Source organism: Homo sapiens, chromosome 22, assembly GCF_000001405.40.
Source record: "Homo sapiens chromosome 22, GRCh38.p14 Primary Assembly".
NCBI lineage: Eukaryota > Metazoa > Chordata > Mammalia > Primates > Hominidae > Homo > Homo sapiens.
In genome coordinates this window covers 21,340,799-21,354,612 of record NC_000022.11, presented here as the reverse complement: position 1 = coordinate 21,354,612, position 13,814 = coordinate 21,340,799, and the positions used below count along the sequence as shown (strand labels likewise).

The window sequence follows — 13,814 nt, the reverse complement described above, 5'->3', positions numbered from 1 at the left end:
GGGGATTATAGGTGTCAGCCACCGTGCCTAGCCCACTGGATGACTTATGATATCATATGTGACATTGTGACATCATGTGAGTCAGGGATGTACCCCGTTCTCAGCTGCTATATGCTATGTTACACTGACAGAATGGGAATGAAGAATGTGTCCCACTCTCTCAGCTGTTGTATTATATCATACAAGGTGCAGTGACTAAGTGTGTCAGCTGTGTCCTCATCCTACATAGCATATGAGAGTGTGTGACGGGAGATAGGATGCAGACCTGAGAAGCATTAAACACCTAGGCAATAAAGGTGCCAGCATCAGCTGAGAGCGCAGGTAGACCTCAGTCACATTTGTTACTGTGTAACTAAAAATACAAAATTAGCTGGGTGAGGTGGTGCACGCCTGTGGTCCCCACTGCTCAGGCACCTGAGGCAGGAGAATTGCTTGAACCCAGGAGGCAGAGGTTGCAGTGAGCTGAGATTGCACCACTGCACTCCAGCCTTGGGGACAGAGTGAGACTGTATCTCAAAAAAATAAAATAAAATAATCTAGGACAACCAAGAGAAGGACTCAGGCTCACCTTACTCTATGTCACATGTGATATATAACACTTGAGGGGGACACACACTTGTCACTTTGTATCACTATGTCCTATATGATAGCCAATGATAACCCAAGAGGGGGAGGCAGCCTTGTTCACACCATGTCACTTATGATATTATATGACATCAAGGAGCCCAGACCTCAGTTGCATTATGTCACTATGGCACATACAGTATCATGCAACAACTGACAGAAGGGTTGCAGGCCTGATTCACAGTGTATGTGAGTCACAAATGTCACTTATGACACCATACAGCAGGTGAGAGGGGATAGTCATTACTCACCTCGGGTCACATTGTCACACATGATACCATATGATAGCAGAGGGGGATGCAGAACTGAGTTGTATTATGTCGCTATGTAACCTGTGATAGATGATAGCTGATGCGGGTGAAGACCAAAGTTACATTTTGTACCTACATTATATGAAATATACAACATGCACGAGGGAGATGCAGACACAAATCACACTGTGTGCTGTATCCCATATATGTGTTTAATTTCTGTGTTTAAGAGAGCTGGGTTCATGAATGAACTTAGTCACTGCACCTTGTATGATATAATACAACAGCTGAGAGAGTGGGACACATTCCTCATTCCCATTCTGTCAGTGATTGACCACACCTTGTGTTAACTGTATGAGCCACTGTGTTTGGCCGTGTATAGCGCACGTGGCACATTGTTCACTGATACATATTTGCTCCGTACTGAAGTGAGGCAGATGCATGAGTGATTGAGAATAATGCTACCTTGGTGAAGCATTCCATTTAGAAGCATGAGGTTCAGGTACTACCATCTTCTGTGATACATATTTAAATGTTAAGTTTAACAGTTAGGTCTACCATGAGTGAATGAGCCTTGCATTATCTTTGAGAATCGATGTGTTTAGCAGGGTGTGGCTCATCTAAGATAGCCTTCTTTAATGCATGTTCACTATCTGTGTTTATTAGAAATAGGTTTGTGAATGACTTAGCATAGTGTTTTCCCTATGAAACCCTGTTTATTTATTTATTTATTTATTTTGAGATGGAGTTTTGCTCTTGCAACCCAGGCTGGAGTGCAATGGTGTGGTCTCGGATCACTGCAACCTCTGCCTCCCAGGTTCAAGCGATTCTCCTGCCTCAGCCTCCTGAGTAGCTGGGATTACGGGCGTCTGCCACCACACCCAGCTAATTTTTGTATTTTTAGTAGAGACGGGGTTTCACCATGTTGGCCAGGCTGGTCTCGAGCTCCTGACCTCAGGTGATCCTCCTGCCTCAGCCTCCCAAAGTGCTGGAATTACAGGCGTGAGCCACCACACCCGGCCAAAACCCTGTTTTAAGAAGTGTGTGGTGCAGGTACTACATTCTTTGTTGTTCCAAGTTCAAACCCTGTGTTTAACAGAGATAGGTGCAAGATTGCCCAGGTGTAGCGTTGACTCTTGGAAATACTGTGGTTAGCATTCTGTGTTTTCTGTAGTATAGTTTCAGTGATGCCTGTTTAGATAGTTTATCAGATCTAGGTACTAGTGTTATGTCAGCGAAACACTGTTTAGCTGCACGCGGTGCATGTAATACTTTGTTCATTGATATTTGTTTAAATCAATCAGTGTTTACCAGAACTAGATATGTGAGTTACTGAGAATAGCCTAATCTCTGAAAATGTTTTCCAGCCTATGGTGCATGTAATATACTCTTCTATGGTACCTCTTTCCAATGTTTTTATTGTGGCAAAATATACATAACAGATTATACCATTTTTAAGTGTAGAATTTAGTGGTAGTAAGTATAGAGAGAATCTTAAAAGCAGCAAGAGAAAAGTGACTTCTCATGTGCAAGGGAGCCTCTAGAAGATTATCAGTGGATATTTCAGCAGAAACCCTGCAGGCCAGAAGGTGGTGGGATGATACATTGAAAGTACTGAAAGAGTAAAGCCTGCCAACTGAGAATACTATATTTGACAAAACTGTCCTTCAAAAGTGAAGGAGAAATTAAGACATTCCCAGATAAATAAAAGCTGAAGGAGTTTATTACCACTAGACCTGACCAATAAGAAATAATAAAGGGGCCGGGCACAGTGGCTCACGTCTGTAATCCCAGCACTTTCGGGAGCCGAGGCAGGTGGATCACCTGAGGTCAGGTGTTCAAGACCAGCTTGACCAACATGGCGAAACCCCATCTCTAATAAAAATACAAAAATTAGCTGGGTGTGGTGGCACGCACCTGTAATCCTAGCTACTCAGGAGGCTGAGGCAGGAGAATCACTTGTACCCGGGAGGTAGAGGTTGCAGTGAGCTGAGATCACACCACTGCACTCCAGTCTGGGCAACGGAGCGAGACTTCATCTCAAAAAAAAAAAAGAAACAATAAAGGGAGTCCTTCAAGTTGATATGAAGGGATACTAGACAGTTGCTCAGCCTGATGAAAATATAAAGGTAAATACATAAAGATTAAAACCTGTATTATTGTAATTTTTGCTAATAACTCAATTTTTAATACTTTAATGGAATTTAAAGGACAAAAGCATAATAATTATAAATCTATGTTAATGGATACAAAGTATATAAAGTTTAATTTGTGACATCAGTAACTTAATAGTGGGGCAAAGATGTAAAGAGTAGAGGTTTTGTATGTGATTGAAGTTATCTGTTTAAAATAATAAGATAACTGTAAGATGTTCCATGTAATTCCCATAGTAACCACAAAGAAAATACCTACAGAATATATGCAAAAGGAAATGAGAAGGAAATCAGAGCATAGCACTACAAAAAATCAACTATAACACAAAGGAAGACAATAAGGGAGGAAAGAAGGACAAAAAGGCTCTAAACATACAGAAAACAATGACCAAAATGGTGGTAGTAAGTCCTTCCTAATCAATAATTTCATTAAATGTACATAGGTTAAACTCCCAATAAAAAGACATAAATCGGCTGATTGGATTTAAAAAAACGGGATTCAACTATATATGCTGTCTACAAGAGACTCATTTGAAATCCAATACAAATGGGTTGAAAAATGAGAGAATGGAGAATATTCCGTGCAAAAAGTAACCAAAACAGATCAGGAATGGCTGTACAAGTTATGGCTGTACAAGTTGTTGGGGTTTATGTTACTGAAGAATGAACAGAGATGAGTAAGTGGAGGTGTTATGTAAAGGCATACTGTACTCAAAATCTGAAGACCTGCAGCAGATTTAAATTCCAGCTCTTATTATAACTTTTTAAAAGATTGTGAAAATATCAAAATATAGATGAATCAAGTTTTAATATACTGTATGATGGGTGGATGAGGCTGTCCATTGTACCATTTGTTTGAATTCTCAGGCATGGTTTGGCAGTGCAAGAACTCTGTAACGTTAACAAATTCAATAAAAAGTAAATATATGGAAAAAAAGTATAGACAAAATAGATTTTAAGTAAAAAACTATTACAAGAGAGGGTTCTGGGAAGAAAGTGGAGTAGGAAGCACTGGGAATTCATCTCCCCACCTAGAAAATAATCACACTGGCAGAATCTGCCTGATATAACTATTTTGGAACTCTAGACTCTATCAAAGGAGGCTTGTAACCTCCAAATGAAGGCTTAAACTATAATTTTTACTTAATTTTGGTCAATTTCAGCTCTTAGCTCAGCAGTGGCTACCCAATCCCCATGCCCCAGCTTCACGGCAAGAAGCTTTGCATGTGTTCCTGAAGCAGCTTGTACCAAGCTTGTGGGAACAATCATGGGCGATAAGCACTCTGTCCTCCAAGTGTTAGCATCTGCGTTCTGGTTGTTGATTGCTACTTTTGATTATGGAAGGGCAAACACAGAGGCCGGCAGCCATTATTGCTCACAACTCCCCACTCCACTGCTGCAAGCCCTTACCAGACTGAAGCAACTTCTAGGAGATAGAAAAGGCCAGAACCCCATTTCCCTTCCCCTTCATTGTTCTCTTTTCCTTTTTTGGGAGCCAAACATTAAAGACTAGGACACTCAAAAGCAATGGCATACACAGAGGAAATTAAAGTTACCACACATCCTTGGAGAGAGGAGTGTGTGCCCAGGGAAAGGAGCAGCTTCAGACCTGAGAAGACCTCAAGCTTACAACTCAGGTTGATCCTCAGCATGGAGACAACCTACAACAATGTAAAACATAACAAAACCCCAAAACAGCAAACCCTGAGGAAGAGGAGAGTCTCATCTCCAGAGTTACTGCATTATTATATTCAAGTGTCCAGTTTTCAATACAAAACACAAGGCATACAAAAAACAAGAACATATGGTATTTCAAAGGAAAAACAACAACAGAAACTGTTCCAGAGAAAGACCAGATGGTAACCTACTACACAAATACTTTAAAACAACTTTCTTAAAGATGGTCAAAGAACTGAAGGAAGATGTGGAGAAAGTCAGTAAAATTATGTGTAAACAAAATGGGAATATCAATAAAGAGATAGAAAACCTAAAAAGAAAAAAAATAAATAAATTCTGGAACTAAAAGTGTAGTGATTGAAATAAAAGTTCACCAGAGGGATTCAAAAGCAGATTTGAGCAACAGAAGAAAGATTCAGTGAATTTGAAGATGGGACACTTGAAATGATCAAGTCAGAGGAACAGAAATAAAGACGATTGTTGAATAGCAAGCAGACATTGTGGAAGTCCCAAAAGAAGAGAGGGAAAGGGGCAGAGAGATCATTTGAAGAAATAATGGCTGAGGCTGAACACGGTGACTCACACCTGTAATCCCAGCACTTTGGGAGGCCAAGGTGGGTGGATCACAAGGTTAGGAGTTCGAGACCAGCCTGGCCAATATGGTGAAACCCCGTCTCTACTAAAAACACAAAATTAGCCAGGTGTGGTGGTGCATGCCTGTAATCCCAGCTACTTGGGAGGATGAGGCAAGAGAATCGCTTGAACCCAGGAGGCAGATGTTGCAGTGAGCCGAGATTGTGCCATTGCCCTCCAGCCTGGGCAACAAGAGTGAAACTCCGTTTAAAAAAAAAAAAATTAGCTGGGCGTGGTGGCACGTACCTGTAGTCCCAGCTACTCAGGAGGCTGAGGCAGAAGAATCACTTGAATCCAGGAGGCAGAGGTTGCAGTGAGCCAAGATCACACCACTGTACTCTAGCCTGGGCAACAGAGCGAGACTCTGTCTCAAAAAAGAAAAAAAAAAGCTGAACACTTCCCAAATTTGATGAAAGACATGAAAATAAATATCCAGAAAACTCAATGGACTCCAAGTAGGATGAAAAAAAAAAAAAGACTCATACTGAGACATTATAATTAGCCAGTAGGGCCTCTTGAAAGCACCAAGAGAGAAGCAACTAGTCACATGCTAGGAATATATAATAGGATTATAAGTAGATTTCTCATCAGACACTTTGGAGAACAGAAGACAATGGGATGACATATGTAAAGGGCTAAAAGAAAAACAACCACTACCTCTCAACCAAGAATCCTATATCCAGCAAAACTGTCCTTCAAAAGTGAGGAAGAAATTGGGAAATCCCCAAATAAACCAAAGTTGAGAAGTTTGCTACCATTAGACCTGCCCTGCAAGAAATCTTAAAGAGAATCATGCAGGTTGAAAAGAAAGAACACTAGATAGTAACTCAAAGCCATATGAAGAAATAAAGATGCCAGTAAAAGTAAATATATGGGAAAATATTAAATCTAGTATTATCGTAACTTTGGTTTAAAACTCCATGTTTTGCTTTCTACATAATTTAATAGACAAATGCATTAAAAACAATTATTAGTTTATGTTTATGGACACACAATGTACAAAAATGTAATTTTGTGACATTGATAACTGAAAGAGGAGTGGCAAAACTGTGAGGAGAGTTTTTGCATATTATTGAAATATAGCTGGTATGAATTCAAGTTAGAGTGCTATAACTTTAGAATGTTAAGTGTAATCCCTATGGTAACCACAAATAAAACATTATATAACATAAAAAAGTAAATGAGAAGGGAATTAAAACACTTCGCTACAAAAAATCAACTAAATACAAATGAGATCATGCAGGAAATGGACAAAAATGCTGTAAGGCATATAGAAAATGTATAGCAAAATGCCAGAAGTAAGTCCCCCCTTATCAGTAATTACTTTATTACTTTTTAAACCATTTTGTTGAGGAATGATTTACATAAAAACTGTACATATTTAACGTACACATCTTGATAAATTTACACCATAAAACCATTATCATCAAGCCTATAAACATATCCATCACCTTTTAAAATTTCCTTCTGCCTCTTTATTATTATTATTGTATAAAAAAATGTTTTTAATGGCCAGGTGCGGTGGCTCACGCCTGTAATCCCAGCACTTTGGGAGGCTGAGGCAGGCAGATCACCTGAGATCAGGAGTTGGAGAGCAGCCTGGCTAAGATGGCAAAACCCCATCTCTACTATAAATACAAAAATTAGCTGGGCGTGGTGGCGGGTACCTATAATCTGAGCAAAGTACTGGGAGGCTGAGGTGGGAGAATCTCTTGAACCTGGGAGGCGGAGGTTGCAGTGAGCCGAGACAGCACCATTGCACTCCAGCCTGAGCAACAAGAGTGAAACTCTGTCTAAAAAAAAATAATAATAATAAAAGTTTTTAATTAAACAATTTAAGAATATAGTATCATTTTCTGTGGGTACTATGCTGTATAGCTCTCCAGAACTTACTTATCTTGCATAACTGAAATTTGTACACTTTAACCATCAACTTCCCATTTCCTTCTCTTCCCCAGCTCCCAGCAACCACCATTCTGTTCTCTTCTTCTGAGTTTGACGTCTTTAGGTTCCACACATAAGTGAGATTGTACAATATTTCACTTTCTGTGTCTGGCTTATTTTACTTAACATAATGCCCTCCAGTCCATCTATGCATAGAAATGCAACTGATTTTTGGATGTTGACTCTGTATCTTGCTACTTTATTGAATTTATTACTTCTAACAGTCTTTTAGTGAAGTCTTTACAGTTTTCTATACATAAAAATATGTCATCTATGGAGACCATTTTACTTCCATTCTTATTTCTTTACTTGCTTAATTGTTCTGGCTAGGACTTCCAGTCCTATTTTGAGGAGAAATGGTGAGAGTAGGAATTCTTGTCTTGTTCTTCATCTTTGAGGAAAAACGTTCAGTCTTTCACTGTTGAGTATGTTACATGTGGTCTTCATTATGTTGAGGTACATTCCTTCTGCACCTAATTTGCTCAGTTTGTTGTTTTTTTTAATCATGAAAGGATGTTGAATTTTATCAAGTGCTTTTTAATAATAAAAATAAAGGATTTTTATCGTTTATTGTGTTGATGTGGTGTATCACATTTAGTGACTCTTGTATGTTAAAGCATCCTTGCATGCCAGAGATAAATCCCACTTGATCCTGGTGAATAATTCTTTTTTTGTTTTTTATTTATTTATTATTTATTTATTTTTTTGAGATGGAGTCTCGCTCTGTCATCCAGGCCTGAGTGCAGTGGCGCGATCTCGGCTCACTACAAGCTCCGCCTCCCAAGTTCACGCCATTCTCCTGCCTCAGCCTCCCTAGTAGCTGGGACCACAGGCACCCGCCAGCATGCTCAGCTAATTTTTTTTTTTTTTTTTTTTTGGATTTTTGGTAGAGACTGGATTCATGGTGAATAATTCTTTTAATGCACTGTTGAATTTGGTTTACTAGTATTTCATTGAGGATTTTTGCATCTATGTTAACCAGGGATATTGACCTATAGTTTTCTTATTTTGTAGTGTTCTTATCTGGCATTGATATCAGGATAATGCTGGCCTCTTAGAATGAGTTTCAACGTGTTCCCTTTTCTTCAATTTTTTTGGAAGAGTTTGAGAAGGATTGTTATTAATTCTTTAAATGTTTGTTGAAATTGACCAGTAAAACCATTTGGTCCTGGGATTTTCTTTGTTGGGAGATTTTTCATTACTGGTTTAATCTCTACTTATTTTTTCTGTTTTTTTTTTTTTTTAATTATACTTTAAGTTCTGGGGTAGCCGTGCAGAAAGTGCAGGTTTATTACTTAGGTATACATGTGCCATGGTGGTTTGCTGCACCCATCAACCCATCATTTACATTAGGTACTTCTCCTAATACTATCTCTCCCCTTGCCCCCATCCCCCAACAGGCCTCAGTGTGTGATATTCCCTGCCCTGTGTCCAAGTGTTCTTATTGTTCAACTCCCACTTATGAGTGAGAACATGCGGAGTTTGGTTTTCCATTCCTGTAGTTTTCAGATGTGCTCTGGCCTCCAAGGACCATGAAGCCAGGCGGTGGTGGGGGGGTGTCCTCTGTATAAAAAGTGCTGTCCCAGGAACTTCCTGACGGACACTTTGGGGCATGTGAGCGATTCCTGGGGAGGGCACCTCGGCCTTCCTAAGGCTACCCCTGCAGCCAGCGCTGGCCATTCTCACCAGCAACCAACCAAAAAACATCAGAGTCCCTGTAAACCTGGTTGTGATGATAAAAACCAAATGTTTTCTAATCTAAGACTTGTATGCAGAACACAGAAAACTGCAGTTAAGGAACACCCTACAAAATTGACCAACAGTATTTTCCAAAAACATTTTTCATCACTTTAAATAATGTACAAAATCTACAAAAATCATATTTACCAGGACACATCTGTTAAATAAAAGCATTGTTTCGTGTTGGTATACATATATACAAGACTATGTATAACAGACTGTTTCCCCTCCCTGCAACCACAGAACCATCACACACAGGCACAGATACACGTCGGCTATGCCGCTTTCCACGAATGCATGGAACCCAGGACGCGAACCCACAGCTCGAGGTCTTATACCTTCACTACTGAGCTGCCGCCACTGCAGCAGCAACACCTCTGCGGAGGTGTTGCTGAAATCACTGGTGTCCCTGCCCAAGGTGTCCTGGTCCTGGTCAACTCTACTGATTGACCCTTCGTGGATACCTCAGGTCTAAAATCCTTTCCTCCGAGCCAGAGCTCTTCCTGTTGTGCAAACTCAGCCCCGTCTGTACCTTCCTGCTTGGCCGGTGACCGCAGTCCTTCTTCGCCAGCAAGTGTGGGCTTCCAAAGACAGGGCTGGGCCTGGCCTGGGACTCCCTGAAGGCCGAGAAGGACAGGCCCTGCAGAGGCAGCCCCAGGTAGGGGCTGAAGAGGCCGGTCTCCCTGCCCCCCCAGGAGACACCCTTTCCAAAGTGGAAGAGCTGGGTGGACAGCAGCGGGGAGAAGCCCGCAAGGGGCAGGCTGGGCAGGCCCCGGGTGGGGCCCTCGGACCCCTTGTCTCTCTCTCCCAATGCCGCCCCCTCCACGCCGCATCTCTACCTTTGGAGCGCAGTGCCCATGGGCTGGGCAGCTGACTGTGGTGGGCAAAGTCACTCCAGGGCGGGGCGCGGTTGGCCTGGGCTCCAGCATCCCTCTCAGCTCCCGGGCTGGGGGTCAGGAAGCTCCGGTTCCTGCAGTCCACGTGAAAGGTCCCCCTGGCTCCTCCTGCCTCGGTGCCCGCTGTGGCACAGCTGGGCCGCTGACCAAAAGCACTTTTGGCAGCAGGCTCAGCCCCTCGTGGGCTCTGGTCTTTGTAAACGTAAACATTTCTCTTGCTCACTGAGAGACCTTGGCGGAGACACTGCCGCTGGTCCTCCTGGGTGGCGCATGATCCCCTCCGCCGGATCAGTGGGGAGCCCCTTCCCACCCTGGCTGAGCAGGCACGCTGCGCCCTGTGCTCCTGCGCTCCCTGCGCCTCGATGCCCTTTAGCCAAATGTGGGACCCCCCGGCCCTCTGGCTCCGTGTGCACATGCCAGGCAGTGGGGCCGGCTCCTTCCTGCAAGGTACCTCTGGCCTGGCTGGGCCCCCTGTCCCGAGAGCGGTGGGGCCCTCTGCCTGAACTTCTGAACTGCTCACCGACTCCTTGGCCTTTTCCACCAAAAACTTCCTAATCTCCAGTTCGATGCTATCGTCGCTGTCCACTGAACTGCTGTTGTCAGACAAGGAGCCAAGGCTGGGAGCTGGGCCCTGGGACTCTCTGGGGAATAGATTCTCTTCGGAGGCGGAGGCAGAAGCGGGTCTCCTCACCAGGAAGGCCGGGGCTTCGTCCTCTCGGCCCTGCTGCCAAAGACACTGGGGGGTTTCTTCCTGGAGCCCTCGCAGCTGTCTCTCTTGGACTTAGGCAGCTCTTCAGCACCTGCAGGTGCCTGTTTTTCCACTCTCTCAGGAGCCTGCCCAGCTGCTCCTGGAAGTGCGTCTGGGAGGTGCTGAACCTGACCTTCTTCCTGCACACAGCCCTGGGCTCCCTGGACCTCTTCTTGAGCTTTCACTTGGACCTTAACAAGTCCTTGATGGCTGTGTCCAGGTCCTTGTCACTGTCCAGGGAACTGCTTTTGTCTTCGGAGCTCTTCTTCTTGTCTAGGTGCCTTGCCTCGTCTGTCTTACCCTGGCCCTGTGACGTGCGAGTGTCACCGGGCACCCTAGCGGCGCCCTCTCCTCCCGGGGCCTCGCTGGCTGTGCCCTGGATGGAAAGGTCCCACCCTAGCGGCGCCCTCCCATCCCGGGGCCTCGCTGGCTGTGCCCTGGATGGAAAGGTCCCGCCCCTCATGGCCGGGCCCGGCTCTCCCCTGGCTGCGGTCGGCATCCTGGCCAACCCTCTTTCCCCACCACCCGCATGTTCTTGGGAGTGGATGGCCTCACTTGGCAGCCGCCTCTATGCTTCCTTTTGCAGCCAGGAGTGGGTCCAGTGTTTTAGAGAGAGGGGCCTTGGGGCTGCCGGTCTGGCTGCTGAGGCCAGGTGGTGAAAGTGGGCCCTGGGCAGCCTGAGGGCAGCTCTCACCTCTGGCCAGCAAACTTCTAGACTGCACCTTGAGGGCCAAAAACGTCCAGATTTCCTGCTCAATGCTGTCGTCGCTGTCCACGGAGCTACTGTCACCATCAGAGCGGGAAGGCACGTTGGGGGAGTAGAAGAGTGGGCTTGCGGACAGGGACCCATCGCTGCCCTCCATAGGGCCGGCAGGATCGTCTTGAAAATGTCCAGGACTGCTTCTACACACATCAGCTCAGCGGAGGTGTCTGCCTGGCAAGAGGACCATTCCACAAACTTGCTCCTGGAAGCCGGGCTCGTTGGAGGTGGAGCTTTGGTTTCCTTTGGGATCTTGGGGGAATGGTCAGCGTCCAGATCCCCTGGACCAGGGTCCGTGGTCTTGGTGGGCACTGGCTTCTTCTTGCTGGGTGTTTTCCTGTGGGTCTCTGGCAAGGCACTTTTTGTGGCGCTGCTTGTGCTGTGTGCGGGAGGGGCAGGTGCTCTTTCCTCTTGGAGCTGGACCCTCTGGGGCGGGTCCCCGTCGGCCTCCTTGTGTGTTTTCTGCACCTGGTACAGCTGGATGGCCTCCTCAATGCCGTCGTCGCTGCTGGAGTCGGACGCCTCGGGCGCCTGTACGGCGCTCGTGACTCGCTTTCCCCTCCTTGCGGTGCTGGCGTTCCTTTTAATCCCACTTTTATTCTGTACTGCTTCTGAAGGGCGGTGGGGGTTGCTGGCTTTGTGCTGCCCTCCTTCTCCTGCGTGGTCGTGGTCGTGACCTTGGACCTGAGGCTTCTGGGCTGCACGTTTGTCTTTGCTAACCGGGGGAGGTCTGCAGAAGGCGAACTCCTTCTGGACGCCCATCAGGCCCTGCCGGTGCACCACCTTTGTAGCCGGCTCTTGGTGGGATTTCGAGAGTGACTTCGCCGAATTTTCATGTGTGTCTGGTTTCTTCTCCACTGACCCATCACATTTTTGGGTCTCATGCTGTCTTTTCTCATTCAGAAACTGTTCTATTTCTGCCCTGATGCTCTGCTCAAAGGAGTCTGCTCTGCTCATGCTGACTGGGGAGGCAGAGCCCTGGTCCTTGCTGGATCCCACCTGGCTGCCAGGGCCACACCACCTGAGCCAGGTACAAGTTTTGGGGAACACAGGGCAGTTGGGCACTGCTGTGAGCCAGTTCCCGCTTACATCTACTGCCTCCGCCTGCAGCCCTGGAAGGCTGTGCATGGCTGGGCCCCGCTGGCCCCGGGCTGTGCGGCTCCACTCTTTACCTTCAGGTACTCCTGGATGGCCTCCTCAATGTCCCGGTCCACGGAATCGTCACTGTCTGAATCTAGCACCAATGGGCCAAAGTCTGCAGTTTCCTCCTCCCCCACGGGGTCAAAGTCAGCAACAAGACCACAGGCAGCCAACGCAGGCAGCTCCTTGTGCATGGTGGGCTTGGCAGCAGGCCTGGCGTCGTGGCATCCCTCTGCCCCCTCTGCGCAGTGCGCTCATCGCTGGTGCCCCTAGCAGCCCTGTCGCTCTGCAGCGTGCTGATGAGCATCTGCACCCGGGTGCTCACCGACATGCTCTCCACGCCCTTGTCAGCCTCCGAGAAGCACCCGGGGAACCTAAAGCTCCCTGGTGGGACAGAGGCCTCCCATTTGGGCTGGAGAGCAACCACTGGAGGAGCATTCATGAGAAACATTCTAGCAGATGGGGAGCGACGCGCAGAGGGGCGACACTTTATTTCTCTGCAGGCTTCACATCCTCCAAAGATTGGCAAGCAGTACCCGTGAAATAACTTTAAACCTGCAAATGCTTCTTTGCAGGTTTAAAAGGATGACTATAAACTATGACGTCATGCCTAGATTCATTCTTGACCCAACCAACAAGCTCTTGACATTCTCTGAGTCCAGGTTGACTGTGATGAAAGGCAGCTAGTGTTCCCAAATGGCCCAGGGATCAGGTCTTCATCGCTCCACTCAGAGGGAAGCATCCTCTCTCTGCTTTTTAAATAGACTTTTGACTGGGGCTCCAGCAGCGCGGGGCGCGCAGACCTGGAGTTGCATGGAGGCCAGAGCCACGACACCCGCCTGGGGAACGGAGCAGCCCCAGGCGCTGATCCCCGTCCACCTGCCCCACGGAGCCCTCGCCGCCCGCTTGCCACTGCCTGCATGGCCCTCCTGTCCCCGGCCCCCCAGCCCTCCTTTCCCCAGCTCCCCCACCCTCCTGTCCCCGGCACCCCAGCTTCCCAGCCCCCGAAACCGCCCCCCCACCTCGACCCGGCCCATGCGGCAAGTCGCCCGCTGCGCGGACCCGGCCTCCGCCCGCCTCCTGCGTCCTGGGGGAGGCGGCTGCCGGGGGTGGTGGGGGAGGGGGAGGGGGAAGAGGCCGCCCTCCGCCCGGGTGCGGGGAGGGGGCGCAGGGGTGTCCGGCCAGGCCCCCCGCCTCCCCGCCTCCCCGCAGCAGCTGCCCCGCGCCCGGGCCGCCTAATACTTTTAC

The 13,814-nt window shown here is 46.9% G+C and overlaps 1 pseudogene; it reads right to left on the bottom strand.

The window, feature by feature from the left end:
* Nucleotides 1-10,845: 10,845 nt before the first annotated feature.
* Nucleotides 10,846-13,212, bottom strand: PPP1R26P5 (protein phosphatase 1 regulatory subunit 26 pseudogene 5; annotated as a pseudogene).